The following is a 23,814-nucleotide window of genomic DNA, read 5'->3' as shown; positions in this document are numbered from 1 at the left end:
TTATTGTTTAGTGAATGATTTTTCTCTAATTTATTGTCATCTTTTGAACATTAGTGCACTAGCAGAACAAAAGATTAGGCAGACTCTGGGCTTTTTCATTTTAGCATTATTGAGGAGCACCTGAATGGTCCTGAAGTTGGCCTTTGAATATACCAATGGACAGGTATGAAATCCTCAAGATGCGCATGGTGGCCAAGAGTCCCACAGTCTCACAGTGTGTGCGGTACCGTCTGCGCCCACCTTTCCTAGAGAAGAAACAGCAGAAAAACCTATTCCTTCACCCTGTGTGTTGTGGTGAATCTTAGTTTTTAAAGGCACATTATTTTATTATATAAACAACTTGGGAACCAATAAAACACAAGACATTTGAAAAGATGGGTCTTCGTATGGGCACAACATATGATAAGGCAAGTCACTTTCCTCCTCTGAGTTTGGGTTTATTTGCTGACTATCTTCCATTTTATCACAGTGAACTGTAAAGAAAAAGATGCAAGCTTCATGGAATGTCCAAATTCTGAAATACAACGGACTGCACAGACAGCTTATGATTAGGATGGCCTTGGCTCAGTGTTTCTGAAAGCAAATGTACAGCTTTTGTCCTTGCCTATTGACACCCTGTTTGCCCTCAGGGCTGGTCAGGGTGAGATCTGTTAAGCTTTTTTTGGAGGCTGTCCTGATAACTCATTTCTTTACTCCACTATTTTCAGGCCCATTCTGGAAACGCAGGATTTAACCGCGGGGTTGCAGCTTCCCTGGTCTCCATCTGCCATCAGAACCCATCTCCACCCCTTCCCCGTTCAGACCTGTGTCCCCTCCACAACTCATACTGGTCACTCTCAGAACTGTGGCCCTGAGTTCTCTAGCTTTCCCTCTTTGCCTCGGGACCCAGGACACCAGTCGGGGCTTAACTTTCTCAGTTGGGAAGGCGACGCTGCTGGTGGCTGCTGCTACTTGCTGGTTCTTCCTTTTTTTTCCTCCCCAAACGAGAGGAAGATTCGAGTGGATTTGGCACATCCCCTAACCGGGGCCTGCCATTTGCAGGTTGGGGGCTGACGTGCCCAGGAGGACCCGGACCAAGCAGGCCATTTTCACCTGCGTAATAACAGGATTGGGAATAGCGAAGCAGCGGCGGCAGCAGCGAGTGGAGTAGGAGGAGGAGCGCAGGCAGCGGCCGCGGCGGGGCCGGAGGAAGAGGAGGGGGGAGAAGGAGGAGCTGAAGCGGGAAGAGCGGCAGGCAGCGGCTCGGCGGAGTTGCAGCAGAGGCGGCGGCGACGCTGAGACACCGCAGCTTCCCTGAGCGCCGAGTCCCTCCGGGGACAGCAGCAGGGAGCGCCCGCGCAGCCACCGAGCCTCTGCCCAGCCAAGCCGCCGTCGCCGCGCCGGGGGACCGCCAGCCATGGCCGCGCCGGGGGATCCGCAGGACGAGCTGCTGCCGCTGGCCGGCCCCGGGTCCCAGTGGCTCAGGCACCGGGGGGAGGGGGAGAACGAAGCGGTGACGCCGAAAGGGGCCACGCCGGCGCCGCAGGCTGGGGAGCCCAGCCCGGGGTTGGGCGCCAGGGCCCGGGAAGCGGCGTCGCGGGAAGCCGGCTCGGGCCCCGCCCGGCAGTCGCCCGTTGCCATGGAAACTGCATCCACAGGTAAGGCGGGCGCCGCTGCCCCTCAAATGGCGTCGGGGACCAGGGCCCCCCAGTCAGTCCCCTTCTGCGCGGCTCTCCTGGGCACCTGCCTCGCGCTTTCTGCCTTGAGCGCCGACCCCACCCCCGCGTCGCCACGGGCGACTGGGAATATTCGCGGGCTGGTAGAAAACAACAATTTTATTTTTCCCAAAGGCTCAGAAAAAGTCAAGATGCTTTTGATCCTTTTATTTCATTATCATGATTATTTCCGCTTTAAAAATTGTTCTCATAGGCAAACAGCAGCATTCTGGCTGCTGGCGAGTCTGGGTACAAGTTTCTCCCTCCTGCCAGGAGGCTCCGAGCTGTAGGGCCCGTTTGACAGGTTGTGGGGATTTTGGGGGGCGTGTTTGCGCGCAGTGTGCGCGCCGGCTACAGGAGATGCTGACAACCGAGCGGCGGGCAGGCCCGCGGCCCCTGGACCCGGCTCTGTCCAGGGCAGAGATGTGGCTGTAACTGCCCCTTACCCTTGCCCTCCACGAATCGCCACCACACCTTACTCCCCCCACATCCCTCCGCCTTTTCTCCCGCAGAAAACAAATCCCAGGGAGTTTGTCCCTAATTCGGGAGGCACAGCTTTGCAAGAGGGTTGGGTGCTGTGGCTGCCCCCGCCCAAAACCTGTATTTCGCCGCTGCCCGGATGGCCCCACCTTGCAGGGAGCATTGAAACTTCAAGTCCTAAGTGCGGCGGGCCTGGCTGTGGGTTGGAGGGCTTGGGTGGTGGTGAGTGGACGTGGTACAGTTTACCAGCAGTCTAAGCGCCCCCCCCCCCCCACCCCGGAAATTGCCCTGGGTTTGGCCATTCTTCGCCTGACGCCCTATTCAAAGTCTGAGCGCGCCAGTGTCCAGCGGGAGCCCAGGCCCCTGGCGCATCCTGGTCAAAGGATCCAGGAAGCGCGCTTTGAGGCTGCCGGCCTGGTTAACGCTGTTTCCAGGGAGAGGAAAGGGGATGCTGTGTGGTGCTCTTTCCTGAGAAAGCTTTGCTATGGTGGAGTGGGAGTTGTGTAGTTTTGGCAATGTAGAGCTAGAAGGCCTGGGGTGGGGGGTGCTCCCAGAGGAGGGGAAGGGGAGTGGGACTGGTGTGTGTGCTCTTGGTGGTTGATTTAAAGAAACCCCTTTTCGTAAGCTTCTCTTAAGGGTTATGTGGAATGTCTAAGGTAATCGTAATTAACTGCCCTGGTACAGAAGATCTGAGCTGGGGAAAAGAGGTTTGGAGAATGCGTTGAATAAAAATTGTCAATATCCTGAAAGGAAGAGAAAAAGTGGAGACCCTATATAAGAAAAAAGAAAAAGAAAGAAAGAAAAGTACTCAAAAGCCCCAACGCCAAACGCCAAAGGTTATATATTAATTATTATATCCCTAGGAGTGGGGGAGGATTTAAATCTAAGAATGGCTGCTCAGTCTCTCTTTCAACTTCTGCATCCAAGTGAAAACAAAACTCTTTATAATTGCAAAAGAAGATGGCAAATGATAATAGACAAAGGAAGGTAGTTTTTGTCTTTACCATTCTTTGTTGAGGATAGACTGCTCATAGTTCAGAATCTTTATCCACTGTAATCAAAGTAAATTGTTTCTTTATGAAACATTACCCACCTCCTATTAGTGCCACTAAGATTATGTGAACTAGAAAAAGGAAGCTAAGTGCCCCATGCTCAGTAACATATCCACAAAAGTTATTATATAGGAAATGCTTAGAATATATATTTGTGGGGTACAGTGTGATGTTTTGACATATGTCTGCATTGTCAAATGATTAGCTAACAAATCCATCATCTCATGTACTTTTTTTTTGTGGTAAAAGCGTTTAAAATTTACTCTTTTAGCAATTTCAAAATGTACAGTGCATTGTTACAGAAAGGTGGCTGTAGTAAATAACAATGCATTTTGCATTTTTAGTATTATTATTATAGAAATACCTTGCTTTATTGAATGTGTTTGGGGTTTTCTATCCTAGGCAACAAATATAGTAATAAAATCAAACATGATACTACGTTTGGATGGGAGAAGAATGAAGAAAGATGGAAGGAGCACATATTTTGCATATTTATATAGAAATTTTTTAGTTTATGATTGTGGCTAGAAGGAATTTCTGATATAGTTGTTGATTGGTTAATGTCTTAAATCTCTGTGTTTCTTATTAAGTAGACCGGATGTGCTGCTATAAGAGACTCAAACGCCAGAAATGCTGTATAAATAAATAACTAGATCTTAAAATTCCAAACAAATCTTGTCCAGCTTCCTGGTCTGTTATTTTGGCAGTTCTATTGCTATAAGCAAAGTTAGCAGGTGAGCCCTCAATTGTATCAGAGATGCCTATTAAGCACACTACTTTACACTGTATTTCTTAATTTACTTTTTTTTGGCTTATAAACAGAAATTTATTTTCTCACAGTGCTAGAAGCTGAGAAATCTAAGATCAAGGTAGATTTGGTGTCTGGTCAGGGTCTGCTTCCTGGTCCACACACAGCTGTCTTTTCACTGTGTCCCCACATGGCAGAAGAGTGCTTTATTTTTTTAAAAGAGTGGTGCTTTTTTGGGACTCAACTCAAACTAAGAAGTAACTTAGACTTTGAGTGTGATGCACTGTAAACAGATTTTGTTTCTTTTTTAGATGGAAATATAAGACAGATATTGATGTTTTAATAACTGTTTTTCTGAAAAACATCACCAATCATGCCATCTGGACAGATATTCTGTTATTTATTTTTATACATTGATGGTAATTAAAATTATCCCAGGAACATTTCCAAAAATATGTCTCAGCAGTGTCCTGGAATGAATATAAGTTTAAACATTATTAAAACTGCACCATAAAACTCCATCAATCCTCTATTTTCAGGTGTTCTCATTGCTTCTGTCCCTTTTGTGGCGTGGAAATAGTCTCATCAAAATAACACTGTCTTCTAAAGTTACAACTTCATGTCTAAACTGATAATGGACATGTGAAATTATGTGTGTTGACAAGGGAACATTTAATACACCGTAGGTAGGCTACGACATGTTAGCGTTGTTAATCATAAAAGTGCCATCATCTAATAACTTTATACAAAGAATGTTAAGAGCAACTGTTCTGTTTTTTCATGATCAGTTATTTTATTACTGGAAACTATTCAAAAGGAGCATACAATAACAAAAGGAAAAAAGAATGGTCCTTTGTTTAAAGAAAGAATTTTAAATAGAACATCTGAACAAAATGAAATAGAGGTTAACTCATTGCCTGCTTTGGAAATTAACTCATTGACTGCTTAATATATGGAAAGCAAAATCAAGAACATGATGGAGAATGGTCAGGAAAAATCAGTCCAATATGATTTGCTGCAGTGATATCAATTTATAAATAATTTGACTTAAATTTCAAGATAATTACAAAAAGCATTTTCCAATTTACTTTACATGGACCATATTGTTTATATGTCCTCATTTTTCAAATGCTAAATGTGATGCTGTATTGGAAAAACATCTTCTAAATTCCATTTGGAGGCTAGATTAACTGTCTTCACTTTTGGATGTGTTTGACAGATGTGTAGACATTTTTTATTTGGAGTCATTTCCAGGTAATCCCCTTCAGAAGGTATAAATTTCCATCTTCTTTCTTTTGAGAAAGCTACAGTTCTATTGAAATGGTAAGGAACATTACACTGTGCCATTACTATCTTTAAAGAAACATATAAGATGAATAAAAGAGTTTGGAAAACTAATGCAATTTATTTCTGTGGGCATATCCTCTGGATACAATCAATACCATTTCTGGAAGTAAGTACAATATATGTTCTTTAATATAGGGAATTCAAATTAGGTTAAATTAAATTTAGGATGCTTACATACTTTTAAAATACATTGATAAATATTATAAAGGCTTTCAGGTTAACTTTCCCTTCATGAACTTACTGTTCCAAGAAAACCACCCTGCTCATTGCCCTGCTCATAGGCTCTCCTCTCTCCATCTCTTTTTTACTTCTGATTCTGAGGGTTGAGAGAAGCATTATTGGTTATCTTGCCCATTTTATTGTCTATCCCTGGGAGCATGGATTGCAAGGATTACAGAAAGCTTTTATTATCTTTTGTAAAGTGAGAAACCATTGCGGTTCAATTCAACTTAGTAGACTTATGTTAAATGCCTCCTTTGTGTAAGGATCTGTGCTAAACACAGGTCAGTCATGACTTCCTAAAACATGTGCACCTTTCTGATTCACAGTATTTAATTTAGCCAAATAGTTCCTTTTGTGTTATTTTTCATTTTCTTCATTCCCAAGTTATTGCTGGAAGCTTGACTAGAAGGGAATTATAATAATCTAACCCCATGGGCACAAGGGTATGAGTTAGTTTTCTGAGATCAACACAGGATAAGTAAATATGAGCACAGCTTGCTCAGACTGTGAAAGACAAAATCTGTCTTTTTGTCTAGCTGTGAAAAACAAAATCTTTCTCTCCCTTTATTTCTATCATCTATCTCATTCTCTACATCTTCAAAGAAATAACTGGCTAAATGTTACATCAAGATCTTTGGATTAGTTAGTTGTGATTTTATTCAACAATTAGATTATTTCAGTGGTGACTAAGGGAGTTTTGAAAACGATGCTGGAAAATTTAGAGGGCAGTGAAAATAAAAGACATTTCAAGAGACAAACGTATCTACATAGGAATGCTCTAGGCTAAAGTCATTGTAAAGAACATGGTCCAAAAATGAAAGACAACCAGTTTTGTTTGGTTAAATAATATTTGAGGGCAAAGAGAACAGTGAGAAGAGTGTGAGCCAGAGAGGCCCACTGTTTGTGGAAGATGCTGTAGTGATAGGGTATGAGAAAAGGGAGGGAAGGGCTTCTCAATTCTTATTTGAGCTCCCTAATTTAAAATGGACAGTGATTCTTAAGTTGGAAAATTGAAACATACAGAAAGAGATACTGGGATCCCAGGATAAGTAAACAGAAGGTAAAATCTTGTATTACTACTTTGATGAGATCAGTTCTTCACATCCAACTACTTTACATCTCATGGAATTGAATGAGTGTGCTGAGCAGCTTTAAATTCATTCCCAGTATCTTTGGAGAATAAGACTAGGGCTAGAAAAGCTGAAATTGATAAGTGATTTTCAAAAAGGGGAAAATGGTGGATTCTTAAAACTTATAAACCAATATATTTGACACTGACTGCTGGTAGAATCTAAGAATGTGTTATTATGCTAAATATTCATAGACCCTTAGAAAAGAATGAATATATTGTTCAGAAATTCCCTCTAGTTCACTAAAAAATAATGCCTGTACAACATTATTTCCCTCTTTTTCAGATTTTGAATTACCAACATGTATGTAGCCCTTCCTATGTCTAGGAACTCTGCAAAACGCTCAACTGACATAAAGATATAGAAAGCATGCTCTTTAATTTATAAACTGCACAAAATTTCAAAGGATGGCTGATATGCTACAGGGTAGCATTGCGATGAAAAAAATCTTGATTTTAATGTTTATTCAAAAGCAACAAGATAAATCTGTTTATTAAAATTATTTTTGTCCCGATTTAAAAATTGGGGGTGGGTAGAAAATACATACACATGGTATTAAAATCTAAAAGGTACAAAAGGGTAAGTAGAGAAAAGGAAGTCTTCACACCTTACCTTTCAACAATCCATTGCCCCTCTCCAGAGGTAACCATTGTAATTAGTTTTAGCAAGAGAGCATTACTTATGATTATACTACTATTTATTGAACTCTTGCTATATGTCAGGCTTTGTCTAAGCACTGAGGATTATAGTACAGAAAAGGACAGATAAAAGCCTCTCATCCATAAACTATACTTTTTTTTTCTTGGTGGGGGCAAGGGGAGAGAGTAAGGAAGGGCAACAGAGACCAGAACATCTATATCAAGGGATGATTAAGTATTGTGAAAAAGGTCAAAACAGAGTAATGGGAATGAGAGGGATAGTCAAAGAAGACCTCTTTGATAAGGTATCTTTAAAGCACAGACTTGAAGGAAGTGACACAACAGTCTTGCAGATGTCTGAGAGAAGAACATTTTGGGCAGAGGGAATTTCCTTTGCAAAGGCCCTGGGTGGGAGTGTGCCTAGCACATTGAAGGAACCACAGGAAGAGCAGTGAGGTGGAGTAAGCAAGGGGAGAATGATAGGGGATGAGCAAAGGGTCAGCGGTAGAGAGGAGTGGATAGATTAGGTCCTATAGGCCCTTGTAACAGCTTTAAATATTACTCTGAGTGTGATGAGAGCCACAGGAATGGGAGAGGTGTTAAATAGAGAAGGAACATATTTAGAGTTCAGTTTTAAGTTTAATGACTCACTCTAGTCACTGCGTTGAGAATCTAACATGGGGGTGGTGGTGGTTGGTGTGGAGCAAGAGTGACCTACTAGTAGGCCATTGCAATAATCTGAGAAAGAAATCATGGTGGCTTGCACCAGAGTAACAGCATTGGAAGAGGTGAAAAGTGGTTGGATTCTAGATATATTCTGAATGTATGTAATGTGTTAGAAAGAACACAAGGGACATGCCATGATTTTTGGCCTGAGTAAACACAAGAATGAAGTTGTTATTAGCTGGGGTTGGGAAGACTTTAGGAAGAGCAAGTTTTAGGGAAAAAACAGGAGTTTGGTTTTACACATGTTAATTTTTGAATGTCTGTTTGGTGTCCAAGTGGAGATGTCAAGTAAGCAGTGTAGAGTGGGGCTGGGGAGTGATCTGATCTGCTTATATACATTGGGAGTTGTTGGTGTAGAGATGAGATCACCAAGGGAGTGAGTGTTGACAGTGATGAGGTCAAGGAGTCCTGGGTCACTCAAATATACAGAGGTCTTTCAAAGAAAACTGAGTAAAAGTGGGCGACGAAGTAGGAAAACTGAAAGAGACTCCAGAAGAAAAGATAAATATATGTCAAGAGGAATAGAATGATTGATTCCGTCAAATGCTGCTTGTGGTTAAGATAGAGACTGAGAGCCAGCCACTGGATTTGACAATGAGGAAGTCATTCAAAGTGCCGGGAAAAACATCTCGGTTGAAATGGTTTTAGAGCAAATGAGAGGGGAGAAAATAAGAGATGGTATTTGTAGACTTGACTCTTTGGGGGAGTTTTGTTATAAAGGAAACTGAATAAGAGGTAACTGTATGGAGAGTGAGATGAAAAGAAGGGAAAGTATTTTTTTTTTGCTATGGAGAATATTAAGGCATATTTGCAAGATGATGTAAATGATGCAGTAGTCAGGGAAAGATTGGTGTTGCGGGAGGTGGGGGCATTTCCTGAAACTGTGTCTCTGAATGAGTAAGCAGGGATGGATCCAGCACACAGACAAGGGCTGATATTGGATAAAGGTGAGGACAGTTCATGGCTATAATGGAGGAAAGACAGAGGAGAGGGCACACCTGCAGGGAGTGGTTGGAGATGGGGCTGAGAACAGGTGGAAGTTTTCCATTAACTGCTTCTATTTTATCAATGAAATAGGAAGCAGGGTCAACAGAGTGAAGGCAGGAGTGGAATTGTTGAAAGTTTGAGAAGAGGGGAGAAGGTATAAAATTGTCGTTTGGGAAAATGAGAGAGTGAAAGGACTAGGGCAAACTGAGGGAACACTGAGTAGCCCTTGGGGCTCACTTAGAGCTTAAAGTGAGACCAATCACTGTATATGTTATCTTGTTTTTGGTTTAGAGTGCAGGGTTAGTTGGATTGATTTTTGTTTTCCAGTGATCCCAGTGGGAACAGATGGGAAATGGATTTGAGGATATATGCAAGGCAGTATATAGATGCTTGGTCTTGGAATCTGCTGAGGAGGAATGAAGCATAGTAAAAAGATGACATAAGCAGTGGATTGTATATGCTGGCAGGGTTGCTAGAGTAATGGTACTAGAGTAAGGGAGATGAAAGGATAAGAGATGATGATTTGGTAGCTGGGGTGTTTGAGGTAGATAGTAGGAGGGGTACTATTACTGAGAAGCAGTGGAAAACTGAGATGGAGTGGATGACAAGGTCATTGGAGGAGTCCAGAAGAAAGGTGAAAATAGGAGTGAAACAGTCACCTACATGATTACTGACATCACAATGAACCATGACAGATCCTGGGAATTACAGTAAACCAGACGCTAATGGATATCTTTAGGAAGGGACATAATGGCCTAGGATTCTGCCTAGGGGCTTTTAGGGGGAAGGAAGAACAGTGGCCTGTAACATTATAAATGTAAAATGTTGACTATAAGTTCTGAAAATTCTATTTAATATGTATAGAACGTAGGAGATGCAACTTAAAATAGTTCATGGTGGGGGTTGGGAATTTTGTAATTAGCTAAATATGAGCTAGTGGTATGGTGAAATTACTAAAATATCTTATGTAATTTCAGATAGTATTAATAGAAAGTCTCAGGTGCACATTATACGAGGTAATAGCTCCCCTAGATTCTGTTCTAGGCAGGCCAAATTTGGATTCTCATACTAAAGGGTAGGTGCCATGTTTTGAGAGACATTGACGAGCTATAATACGGTGAGAGCAGGGCAATTGGGAGGCTTTTGGAAAACATGCCATTTGAGAGATAGTTAAAGAAATTAAGAATTTTTATCCAAAAGAAAAGAATGAAGATCTGAATGTTAAATACTAGAAGAACTTTCATGAAGCAAAGGAAGAAGACTTGACCCAGCTGATTTCACAGAGCAAAATTAGGACTAGTGATGTGGAGAAGTAGATTTCTTCTGAATGAAAGAAAATGTTCTAATAATTAGAACTGATCAGAAAAGACAGATTCTCTCCCAGTTAGTGATGTTCAAGCAAAAGCCAGGTTGCCATTTTAATGTGGGGAAAGCAGAAAGGAAGTCATTAGTTACACTAAGATGTTTATATCTTCCTAAAAGACAACAGTGCCCCTAACTTGACATTGTTATTGTTACATTATTACTTGTATTAGTCCATTTTCACACTGCTGATTAAGAGATACCCGAGACTGGGCAATTTACAAAGAAAAAGGTTTAATCAACTTACAGTTCCATATGGTTGGAGAGGCCTCACAATCATGGCAGAAGGCAAGGAGGAGCGAGTCATGTCTTACATGGATGGCAGCAGGCAAAGAGAGAGATTGGGCAGGGAAAATCCCCCTTATAATACCATCAGATCTTGTGAGACTTATTCACTATCATGAGAACAGCATGGAAAAGACCTGCCCCATGATTCAATTACCTCCCGCTGGGTTCCTCACATAACACGTGGGAATTCAAGATGAAATTTGGGTGGGGACACAGCCAAACCATATCATTCTGCCCCTGGCCCCTCCCAAATCTCATGTCCTTACATTTCAAAACCAATCATGCCTTCCCAACAGTCCCTCAAAGTCTTAACTCGTTGCAGTATTAACTCAAAATTTTATAGTCCAGTGTCTCATCTGAGACAAGGAAGTCTCTTCTGCCTATAAGCCTGTAAAATCAAAAGCAACTTAGTTACTTCCTAGATACAGTGGGGGTACAGGCATTGGGTAAATATAGCCATTCTAAATGGGAGAAATTGGCCAAAACAAAGGGGCTACAGTCCCCATGCATGTCTGAAATCCAGCAGGGCAGTCAAATCTTAAAGCTTCAAAATGATCTCCTTTGACTCCGTGTCTCACTGATGCAGGAGGTGGGTTCCCATGATCTTGGGCAACCAGGTCACACTGATGCAGGAGGTGGGTTCCCATGGTCTTGGGAAGCTCTGCCCCTGTGGCTTTTCAGGGTACAGCCTCCCTCCTGGCTCTTTTCATAGGCTGGCATTGAGTGCCTGTGGCTTTTCCAGGCACATGGTGCAAGCTGTCGATGGATCTACTGTTCTGGGGTCTGAAGGACAGTGGCCCTCTTCTCACAGCTCCACTATGTGGTACACCAGTAGGGAGTCTGTGTGGGGCTCTGACCCTACATTTCTCTTTTGCACTGCCCTAGCAGAGATTCTCCCTGAGAGCCCCACCCCTGCAGCAAACTTCTGCCTGGACATCCAGGTGCTTGCATACATCCTCTGAAATCTAGGTGGAGGTTCCCAAACCTCAATTCTTGATTTCTGTGAACTTGAAGGCTCAATACCACGTGGAAGCTGCCAAGGCTTGGGGTTTGCACCCTCTGAAGCCAGAGCTTCAGCTTGTCCCCTTTCAGCCATGGCTGGAGTGGCTGAGAAGCAGGGCACCAAGTCCCTAGGCTGCATACAGCACGGGACCCTGGACTCACCCATGAAATAATTTTCTCCTAGGCCTTGGGGCCTGTGATGGGAGGGGCTACTGTGAAGACCTCTGACATGCCCTGGAGACATTTTCCCCTTTGTCTTGGGGATTCACATTTGGCTCCTTGTTACTTATGCAAATCTCTGCTGCTGACTTGAATTTGTCCTCAGAAAATTGGGTTTTCTATCACATTATTAGGCTACAAATTTTCCGAACTTTTATGCTCTGTTTCCCTTATGAAACTGACTGCCTTTAACAGCACCCTAGTCACATCTTGAATGCTTTGCTGCTTAGAAGTTTCTTCTGCCAGATACCGTAAATCATCTCTCTCAAGTTTGAAGTTCCACAAATCTCTAGGGCAAGGGCAAAATGTTGCCGTCTCTTTGCTAAAGCATAACAAGAGTTACCTTTGCTCCAGTTCCCAGCAAGTTCCTCATTTCCATCTGAGACCAGCTCATTCTGGACCTTATTGTCCATATTGCTATCAGGCTTTTGGTCAAAGCCGTTTAACAAGTCTCTAGGCAGTTCCAAACTTTCCCACATTTTTCTGTCTTCTTCTGAGTCCTCCAAACTGTTCCAACCTCTGCCTCTTACCCACTTCCAAAGTTGTGTCTTTTCAGTATCTTTTCATGTTTTCCAGTATCTTTTCAGCAGCACCCCACTTTACTGGTATCAATTTACTATATTAGTCAGCTTTCATAATGCTGATAAAGACATACCTGAGACTGGGCAATTTACAAAAGAAAGAGGTTTAATGGACTTACAGTTCCATATGGCTGGAGAAGCCTCACAATCATGGTGGAAAGCAAGGAGGAGCAAGTCATGTCTTACATGGATGGCAGTAGGCAAAAAGAGAGATTGGGCAGGGAAACTCCCTTTTATAAAACCATCAGATCTCGCTATCACGAGAACAGGATGGGAAAGACCTGCCCCATGATTCAATTACCTCCCACTGGGTCTGTCCCACAACACGTGGGAATTCAAGATGAGATTTGGGTGGGGACACAGTCAAGCCATATCATTATTTTAAAATTATTCCATATTTCTCAAAAAATAAACCACATACTAATGAAACTGGAAACTGTGTGCATCACAAAAACCATAGTTACCCCAAATTGACTACTTAAAATGTGCTCTTCACAGACTTGTGGCCTTTTAAAAATCCTCCTCTAGTTCTCCCTTGTCAAGAAAAGTCCATAATGTGACATATTTGCTTCTTAAGAACTATATAATTTTATCCAGTTTTGGATTATTAACATAAATATAAAATATGTTATCTGCAAGTATCTCTTTTATTCTTTTTGCTGAATTATCTTCTTCATTTTTTACTGAATCTAGTTTCATAAATATTCAACATATTTTAAAATGTTTTGGAAATTCATTAAATAATTTTGTAATGCTAAAAGCATCATACGATCCTTTCCTTCTTTCTCTGCCTCACTATCTGTATATTTATGGAAGATTATTCATTGGAAAACTATGTTTCCTGGGTTGCTTAATGAATTAAATTTTTAGCTGGAAGAATTCTCCATTCTAATTTCCGTGTCCAATCCCCAAATGCCTTTTCTAATTCATCTATTGCATGAGATTTTTTGTAAAATCTGTTATAGACCAAATTCTTGCTTTCTGAGTTTGGAAAATTTGTTGACGCTCACATTCTCCAAAATTCCTAGAATTTTGTTTTATGCATAGCAAATCTTTGGCTTTCTAAAAAAAAAAAAAACTACTCTTGAACAACAGAAAATTATGTGTATTTGAATGATTCCTGATCTAGTTGACAAGCAAAGGAATAGAAAACAATGTCATGTCTGCCTTTGGCATGAATTTTTCAGCTCACTCTGAAAAAATCAGGGCTTCTCAAAATATGGTCTATAAACTACCTGCTCCAACATCACATGGAGTGACCACAGACCTCATCCTAGGGAAGCAAGCCTACCAGGTGCATGTTAAAGCTGTAAGAAGCACTGATTTATTGGCTTTCCTGCTCATGCTTGGCATTTTGTAGGAGACGTGGGGAATAGAGGAGCATGAGCCATGTACCCTTTCCCCATTTCCTCCTGGGCGTATTACCATCCAGTTGGGAGATATGGCCAACTCCCACAAAGCAAAGATGAATAACTCAGGTCAGCATGCAGCTTGTTGCTTGGATGGATGGTACAAGCTATATGTGTGACACGAATTTCATGACTGTATGGGTTCCAATGTACCTGGTCTCTTGAAGGATGGATAGAATTGGAAGGGGGCAGAAGTGAGCAGAAAGGCAGTCTGAGTATGGGGATGATGACAAGGAAGTGAGCAATGATGAGCCTAGTTTCATAGCTTATCCAGATGAGGAGAAGGAAGATTCTGGAGGGCTTGAGGGCTACTCAGAACTCTAGTCTCCTTTCTTATGGATTCTGGGATCTTTGCAGGCTTATATGTAAGGGAAGTAATATCACAGAGCTATGTTAAGGAAGATTAGTCTGACAGTAGAATAGAAGATGAATTCAATGAGGATAATTCTAAAACCTGCGAGTTTTGCTGGAAGAAAGCCAACCCAGTAACATCAATTTCAGGGCCTCTAATAAGTAACCATGGGAATAAAGAGGGAGGTACATGGGAAGAAAGATGAGAGGCTTCACAAGAACAGTCAACAGGACTTTGTGACTAACACACATTATCTGGGGACGAGGGGAGGAATAAATAAAAAATGGCTGCAGTTTTGTGCCCTATGGCTGGGAGAATGTTATGCTATAGAGGGTGGGAGGGGGAACTGGCTAGAGGAGAGAGGATAATGAATTCACTTTTAGTCATATGAGGCTTGAAATAATGACAAGCCATTTGAATGGAAATTTCTACTTGGCAACTGTAGATAAAGAAATGGATTTTGTAGGTGACAACAGGATTGTTGATATGGATTTAGAAAATTAGAAGAGAAGCCATAGAGATTATGTAGTATGGAAAGGACAGAGGACCAGGGACAGAGCAAATACTCCTTGCCCCTCATTAAAAAAGCTTAAAGCTTTAGCTTTAAGCTCCCTGAGCCTCAGATTCTATAGTTAGGTATATATGGTATTAGGTCTTGTGGAGTGCCTGGCAATCATATGGTAAATACAGGTACTCCTATTATTATAGTATCACAAAAGCCAAGATGACGTGGTACAGAATGAGCCCTGACTGAGAGATCAGATTTATCTAGTCTTGGCTTTGGTACCTAATATCATGTCAATGTGGGCAAGACATATGACTGCTTTATGTATCAGTTTCTTCATATATGACATTGCATGAGCACAGTACTGTTCTGGCTATCTTACAGGGTTATGTGAAGATAAAATGGGATAACACAAGAAGATGCATGGAAATGGCAGATAACTCTGTATCTATAAGGTACTATTAATAGGAAGCCTGGTCAGTAGCGTCAGATGCCATAGAGAATGAAGATTGAGAATGAACCTCAACCTTAGATGTTTTACTATAAAATGCTTGCTGTGCCAAGCTGGACCTCAGCCAAATAGCAATGGGGAAGCTCAGGAGAGCAAGGAAGGATTGGGGGTGGAGAGAAGTCGGTTTTGGTAATCCACATGGGAAGACATTTTGGAGGAGGGCAGTAGGAGTGGTGATCTGCTGCGTTTCCCATGTCCTGATGAGTGATCTGTGAGTACAGGGCTGAGGTGTGCCCGTGGGGACCAGCTGGAATGAGGGAGGACAGCAGATGGAATCTATTCTGATTCTCCTATTCAGTGGAAGGGCAATAAGCCTAGGAAGCTGTCCCAGGTATGTGTGGGAGTTGGTCTGGAAGAGGCTGCTTCTCTTACCAGAGAAGGCAGCACAGCGAAAGCTAGCTCCTGCTACCCGCCAGTACAGGGCTAAATCAACTGGCCCTGTGGGCTTGTGGGAATCTGCAGGCTAGTCTTATAACTCAGTAGATTAAAGTCTTATATAAAAACATGATTGCTCTAGAAAGATGGAGTCTCTATCCCTTCTGCTAAATACAGCTAAAAATCCTGGACATTGCATATAAAATAAATAGAAAGGGACTCTGAAAGGTGAATGAAGAGAAGAAGACAGTCTTACTAGAGATCATGGGACCTGTGGAAGGACACAGCAGTGAGTTCTCGGGGTTTTCTGTTTTCATCCTATATCTCAGGCTGGATACTGGAGAAGCCAACAAGCAGGAAATGCCAATGGGCACAGACAAAAAACACCCACAAAAAAAGCCTGCTGTTTCTAGCGAAAGGACCAGAAAACGGCATCCTAGCAGGATAGAAAACTTTTAGACAGTAATCACTGTATCCAGCCAAACACCATGAAATAAACTGAGGTCCCACCTCCATGCCCACCACAAAAGCCAAGGAGGGAGCCTAGACTTCCACCTTTCTGAGGATGTAAGAGACACCCAGCACTAGTAAGGCTTTGGCACTTAATTCACCTGCCAGCTAATGTGGTGTTAGAGGAAGCCTAGAGGAGAGTCAGGAGTTTCATCACTGCTCAGTGATGAGACTGAGTGGAAAACCTGGACTTCTATTTAAGCAATATATATAGTCTCAAGACATAATACCAAAACTGTCCAGATTTTAATGGAAAATTACAAGAACCAGTAGGATATGAACTTGAATGACAAAAGACAATCGACACCATATTAACACAGATGGTAGAATTATCTGAGAAGGATTTTAATGTAGCCATCACAAAAATTATTCAACAAACAATTACAAACACACTTGAAATAAATAATAAAATAGAGAGTCCCCAGCAAAGAAATAGAAAGTCCCAGCAAAGAAAAAGAAAGTCTCACCAAAGAAATAAAAGCTATAAAGAACTAAATGGAAATTTTAGAAGAAACACAGTAATCGAGATAATTTTTATAAAAGCCTCAGTAGGTGGGCTCGACAGCAGAGTGAAGAGGAAAGAAGAAAATGTTAGTGAATTTGAAGAGAAACAATAGAAATGACCAATCTCAACAACAGAAAGAAAACAGAAAATAAAAGGGGATAAATAATAAAATCCCTGTTCTCTGTAGCACAGGAATGTTTAGACGACATGTTCCCTTTTTCAAATGTTCATTGAGTATTCATATTAATAGGGTACAGTGAAAACAGACTGACAGGTATATTGCCTCATGTTTGCTAAATGCACAAAATCTAAGCCATATTGGTCCAGATGGGGGCTTCAGGGAAAATAACCATATAGTACTACTTTTAGTTGTTGAGATGTTTTCCACATTTACAGTACTTACTGATTTCTGATCTGTACTTATATGCACACATAAGCTAAGTTACTTATGAAACAAGCATTTCTATAACACTTACAATGTGTTCTGGGCTGTTTACATTTAATCCTATCCTTAATCTCAATAAAGTAGGTATGGTTATTTTCCCCATTTTACAAGTAAGCAAACTGAGATAGAGAGAGATTGAGTGACTTACCTATGATCATATAGCTAGTAAGTGAAGCATCCAGATTTGATGAACCTTGGCAGTCTGGATCTAGGGTTCATGCTCTTAATTATTTCACTCTGTTGCCTATTTTAGGCTTTTCTTGTGCAGCATCTATTTTTTTTTTTTTTTTTTTTTTTTTGAGACGCAGTCTTGCTCTGTCTCCAGGCTGGAGTGCAGTGGCATGATCTCGGCTCACTGCAGCCTCCACCTCCTGGGTTCAAGCGATTCTCATGCCTCAGCCTCCCGAGTAGCTGGGATTACAGGCAGGTGCCACCACACCCAGCTAATTTTTGTGTTTTTAGTAGAGATGGGGTTTCATCATGTTGCCTAGGATGGTCTTGATCTCCTGACCTTATGATCTGCCCGCCTTGGCTTCCCAAAGTGCTGGGATTACAGGTGTGAGCCACCGCGCCTGGCCACAGCATCTATTTTATGATCTGTGCAGTAAAATTTGCACATTAAATAAGGAATTAGCTTGCATGAAAACCTATCTGAACTACAGTGAGCATAAATCTGAATGGGGAAGACGGTGGCTAAAACTTGAGTTGACAGAACTTGAGAATCCTTAAGAACCTCAGCCAAAAGCAACAATTAATTGCATTTAAAAAGTTAAAAAGTTTGGCTGGGTGTGGTGGCTCACGCCTGTAATCCTGCACTTTGGGAGGCCGAGGTGGGCGGATCACCTGAGGTCAGGAGTTCAAGACCAGCCAACATAGGGAAACCTCGTCTCTACTAAAAATACAAAAATTAGCCGGAGGTGGTGGCTCATGCCTATAGTCCCAGCTACTTGTGAGGCTGAAGCAGGAGAATGGCTTGAACCCAGGAGGCGGAGGTTGCAGTGAGCCGAGATTACACTTCTGCACTCCAGCCTGGGCGACAGAGCAAGACTCCCTCTCAAAAAAAAAAAAAAAAAAAGTAAAAGTTTAATAGGGATAATTGCAAAACCCTGCAATAGAATCCCCAAACTAACTGTATGGATAGAATGGGAGGGCCATGCATGGTGGAACTGCAACATAAATAGAGAAAAAACAGGGATTTTTTGTTAACTTTAAGTTCACTTTAAGTCAGTAGAGTGAAGCAGCTGTCCCTGACATGATAACTGTTAAGTCTCGTTAACTCGAGATGCCCAAAACAAGTAGGAGAGAGCTGGGAATACTTGTTTCAACCCTTAAGATGGGAAGGTTGGAACATGTGAAGGTCTGGGCAGAGTTCTGGGTGCACTGAATGCCGGGGTAGAAGTCATAGTAGAAATCTTGACTCTGGTTGAAAGAGCTGAGGATTTACAGACTGCTTAAAAGAAGATAGGATGGGTTATGACAGCTGTCTAAAAATACATGAAGGGTTGTCAAGTGGCATAGGGTCTGGGCATGTTTATGTGACTGGCGGATGGATCTGTGGTCAGTCAGAAGTTACAGGGAGAGAATTAGAGCTCAGTATTCATCAGAGCTATGAAAATAGCCTAGACTTCCTCATATGGTAGTGAGTTTTTTGTTACTGGAGATATGTAGCAGAGTTGGGTTGATCATGCCTGTGACAGAGGGGTTATAATAGAGGAGATACATTAGATTAGTAATTTAAAAAATCGTTTCATGATCACAGACCCCCACTGGAAAATCTGTACAAACACCCCCAAATTCTGGAATTTTTCAGAAGTCTTTTATGGATGGGGAAATGAAATAACTTTCTAACTCTTAGAAATCAATGATTCCAGATACTCTCATAGAGATCACTGTTTACACAGGGGCAATAGTTTCATGGTTCAATAAAATCTCACTCAATCATCCTTTATTCAACAAATATTTATTAAGCGTTTAATATATATATGTACACAGACACAAAGTATGAAGTTGGATAGATGACACAAATACATACTAAGAATATATAAATAAATTCAGTAAAATAACAATATGGTCAGACTATGAGGAAGAGCAGTCTAAATCAGGCAAAAGATCTGCATTCCATAAATTTTGTTGTATTAATTTCAAGAATATACTCTAACTGAATTTGTGGCTCTCAGAGGATTACTAAGCCATACTCTTTCCAGATTGGCTATGGAGAAATGAGAGAAAGAGAGAGGATTTGGAGATTCCATATTGGATTCCAGTCATGGCTCTACCAGTAGACAGTAGCTAATCTCAGCCTCTGAGAAGGGCTTAATGATGGGTCTATGTGAATCTTCATTGCCCAGATAAGTGATGCATCATCATTTGTGTATTTACTGAGTCTGTGTACACTTCAGTCGCTGCCAACGTTTTTGGAACCAAATGGTATTTTAAGTAGATTAGGCAACAGTCTTTTACCATTATTATTAGGAAATGCTTGGGGGTGGGACTAGGAGATGATGTTAATTCTCCCTCTAAAAATCTCCATCAGTCATCTAATGCCACCCTAAATAAATATGTATTCTTCAATGTGGAAAATCAGTTTTTTTCTCAATTTTATGTAAAGTGTGCATATGATATTTTAAAAAGTCTGCTCTACTTTTATTTATATATGAACATACCATCAAAGTAAAATCAGAGTGCTTCTCATGCAAATGCAGCTTCAAAATAAGTCAACTGACTTCTCTAACTAGATTGTAGCCCCTATGTGCCATTATACGTAGAAAATTTGGAGTGGCCACTACTTACTATACTATCAATTTGTTTAGCAAACCTTTTATTATAGATAATACAAGAGTAAATTGCAGCCCATTATGTTTGAATTACCAGAATTGAACTTCTGTGAGTTTATTTTAAATTGAATCCGTGGTGTTAGAGAACTGTTCCTATTTTACCAAAAGTCTGGAAAGAGCAAATGCCTAATACTGCTTTCTAGAAATTGTACAGTATTTTAAAACCGAGCAGTTCTGTTTACAGTTTGGATGTTTGCATATCAATTCTCAGAAATAAGAATTGGTTTATTCTTTTTTTTTTTTTTTTTTGAGACTGTGTCTTGCTCTGTTGCCAGGCTGGAGTTCAGTGGCACAATCTTGGCTCACTGCAACCTCCACCTCCCAGGTTCAAGCGATTCCCTTGCCTCAGCCTCCCGAATAGCTGGGACTACAGGCGCTTGCCACCACACCCAGCTAATTTTTTGTATTTAGTAAAGACAGGGTTTCACCATGTTGGTGAGGATGGTCTCGATCTTTTGACCTTGTGATCTGTCCGCCTTGGCCTCCCAAAGTGCTGGGATTACAGGCGTGAGCCACCACGCCTGGCCAAATTGGTTTATTCTTATGAATAACATTAAGGAACAAAAAAAAATCATATTTTTAAGAAGAGAAGTAATATACTTTCTAGAGAAATAAGCCCCAGACATCCCCTGTTTTGAAAGTGAATGTGCTGTTAAGGCTCTTTGTGTTGCTTTTATTTTTTAAGTATAGTAATCTGCTCTGTGCTTATTTAACCCCTATGTGGTATAATAACTCCCAGGAGCATTGGTTTCTAAAAGGAGTCTTTAACAATCTGTTAAAATGAAATTCTCTGCCATTCTGCCAGACAGAAGACATCAAGGTCAACCTTTAAGTGTATTATTTAACACATAATGATTGTGTTTCCTAACAATAATGATTATGTTTCCACTGTGATCATTTGTGTGAAAATGTCACACAACGTTTATTGAAAGATATTGAATGATATGCTCCATGTATTATCACGTCAATATGAATCTTTGGAAGCATTATTTTCTGTTTAGAAAAGGGAAAGTTGGTACATAGGTTGATCACAACAGCCTGGAGTTTTTTTGTTTTTGTTTTTTCTATGAATGACCCTGCACTGCAGGGGGAAAACAATCAGTAGACAACTGTATATAAATAAAACTGAAAATTCAGTCAACTTTCTTAGTGAAATGGAAATGCTCAACTCCACAGCCTTGTTTTAAAATTGTAAAAACAGTGATAAAAGAAACTTTTGCAAGAGAAAAAAACCTACCCATGATCCCACCCCCTTTGCACATTCTTAGTGCCCATGTGATGGTTTGAGGATTCAGTGAGCTTCTTTGAAGTGCTTGGAACAGTGTTTGAGACATAGTAAGGACTGTATAAATATTTGCTATTTTTATTGTATTCTCTATCAATTATTGTTATTTGCATAATAACCACTAACCTCCTTCAAGTGGTTTAGAATGGATGGAACACTGACGTCATTTATTGAGTGACCCCCATTTTTACATTTGTAGAATCTGAGCAAGGCCAAAGCCATATCTCTGACACCTGAGTCTCATGCTCTCTTTATTATACTCCCTGGCTTTCTGTCTTCGAAATGTATATGGTCCTCAATTTAAAATAGCTTAAGATTTTTAACTTTACAATGGTGCAAAAGCAATATGCATTCAGTAGAACCTGTACTTTGTGTACCCATACAACCATTCTGTCTTTCACTTTCAGCACAGTACTCAATAAATTACATGAGGTCTTCCACACTTTATTATAAAATAGGCTTTGTGTTAGATTATTTTTCCTAACTGCAGACTAATGTAAATGTTCTGAGCATATTTCAGATAGATGAGGCTAAGCTATAATGTTTGAGATACATTGTGTTTTCAACATATGATATTTTTAATTTATGACTGGTTTATGAGGATGTAACCCCATTATAAGTTGAGGAGCACCTGTATAACATAAGGGAAAATAGAAGTGTCCTACAAGACAACAAAGCCAGGACATGGAATTCAGCTTTACTTTGCAAAGAGGAAGAAAGTAATGAGTGTCAACTGAAGAGACAGGAGAAGAGACACCAGAAGCAGAAGTGAGGGTGAAGAGAGGAGCAATGGGGCTGGGAAGAGGTGGCGGTGAAAGGAGAGGCTTGGCCCCTGGAATGGACACAAATAGACAAAAAGGAAGAGGAAGTGGAGGAATTCAGAAAACAGGAAAGAGAGTTAACAGAGAAGTACACAGAGAGGGGGAAGCCCTTTGAGGAAGCAAAAGTAAAAAAAGGAATGGATTTATGAAGAAGAGGAAAAGAGAAGTAGTTAAGAAGACTTGGCTAAATTCTAGAACCTGGAGTAAGTGAGAGTGGGAGTTCTTGGCTTTACTTCCCTTAGAAATTGTAATTCACATGTTTATGATTGCTTAGATCCTTAAACCAGGAGAAACTTCTATAAGTGGGGTGACTCCAGCAGGCCACTGGGGCTCAGGAGTAGGAGCCATTCTTGGGGTTCTGTACAGGGCCACCCAAAGCTTTCTCACCCCCAGCTGAATGAAATCAATCAGTGGGCTGAGTCAGGCCTGTGGGCTGAAATGTTCCTTCCTCAGTATGGGGATTTTCCAAAAGACTCATATTAACTTTATCTAAATGGAGAAGAATTTAGCTGAGGGTTTTCCCTCAGATATAGGGGTGTATTTATATACTTTTTCTCTTATGCATGACTAGCCTGGAGATTTGCAAATGCAGTGTTTAGATAGCAATATCAGGGAGTTAATTGGTTTTTCTTTTACCATGCTCAAATATGAAAATGTACTCTATACTTTGGGGAACAGGGAGTAGTTAAGGAAAAGAGAGGAAATAGATAAAAGAGAAAGAAGTTGACATGTATTTAGCACCTAGTGCTAGGCAGGCAGGTACTGTGATAAACACTTTATATACCTTCTTAGATTAGCTTTATGATCTAATGGCCTATTGAATATATAGCAGGGTATTGAACTATGATTTGGTTAATCTAAGTAGGGGTGACAACTAATTTGCATAATTCTATTGTTTCCAACCAAGGCCATAAACTACATATAGAAAAGGAGTCTTCCAGCAACTTCCTGCTAAGTTGATGAGGGGGATGAGATATTGGGGTTCAAGTTATAGCTGGTAACAAATGTGCATTTTCAGGAAAGTAAACCACATATTCTTCCCGGGGGGGTGGGGACTATTGAAATAGATAGCTAAGGATTTGGAGTCCTTCCTATCCTTTCATCAGTGACGATTTGTGTACATGGACTTCGTACTGTATCAAGTGAATTAATGTTTGATTTCCTTGTCTAGGCAGAAATTCCCTTGAGGTAGAGGTTGTGTCTCCAATAGTCTCTATAATTCCTTGCAGACAGCCAAGCATATAAGCACCAGAGTTTTATAATTTAGTGGTGTATTTTTTTCTTTGGTTACATAAAATAGTCTTAATACCATATTGGGATCATAGCACATTTTCAAAAACTTTCAAAGTTCACAGAATCAATGACTATTCAAAGCCTTTAGAAGCAGGATTTGGATCTTTTATGTATGACTCATATGGCCAATCTTAAATCAATTACAGTGTAAATTCTTGCTCCTATTTATATGAGTTATAAGAATAATCAGCAAAAACCTTCATATGTTATATCACTTTGAATTTCTTTTAAAACTCTAGCATGCTAACTTAAAAAATAAAACAATTCTTGACAGTTATGATTAAAACTATCTGATGATAAAGGAATTCTGTTAACATTTTAAAAATTAATTGGATGAATGTCCTTGATATAGCATTCAATTATCTTGAGAATTTATATAATAAAATGCAGTAGTTTGTGCTGAGATTAATTTGACACAATTGCCATTAACAACCCTTCCTTCTTAGCACCTAGCAGTTCACCTGCATGCTCTGCCCTCAAAAAGGGGATGCTA

General features: G+C 40.7%; 1 protein-coding gene across 4 annotated transcripts in view, besides 1 other annotated feature; it reads left to right on the top strand.

Moving 5' to 3' along the window:
• Positions 1,243–1,342: a silencer, noted in NCBI's record as "silent region_5807". NCBI's record gives its function as "represses an Ori minimal core promoter by ATAC-STARR-seq in GM12878 lymphoblastoid cells {active_cell/tissue: GM12878}" and the evidence as "EXISTENCE:reporter gene assay evidence [ECO:0000049][PMID:35858748]".
• Positions 1,251–23,814, top strand: part of RTN1 (reticulon 1) — a 274,801-nt gene continuing 252,237 nt past the window's right edge. For all 4 annotated transcript variants that reach the window (XR_007064042.1, NM_021136.3, XM_047431674.1 and 1 more), the window contains exon 1: positions 1,251–1,637. Coding sequence is in view for 3 of the 4 variants with exons in the window: in NM_021136.3 (NP_066959.1) it covers positions 1,397–1,637 (241 nt within the window). In the remaining variant the exon portion in view is untranslated. The remainder of the gene's footprint in view (positions 1,638–23,814) is intronic.

Source organism: Homo sapiens, chromosome 14 (assembly GCF_000001405.40).
Source record: "Homo sapiens chromosome 14, GRCh38.p14 Primary Assembly".
Lineage (NCBI taxonomy): Eukaryota > Metazoa > Chordata > Mammalia > Primates > Hominidae > Homo > Homo sapiens.
The sequence above is the reverse complement of the archived record's forward strand: the minus strand, read 5'-3'. Positions and strand labels throughout refer to the sequence as shown.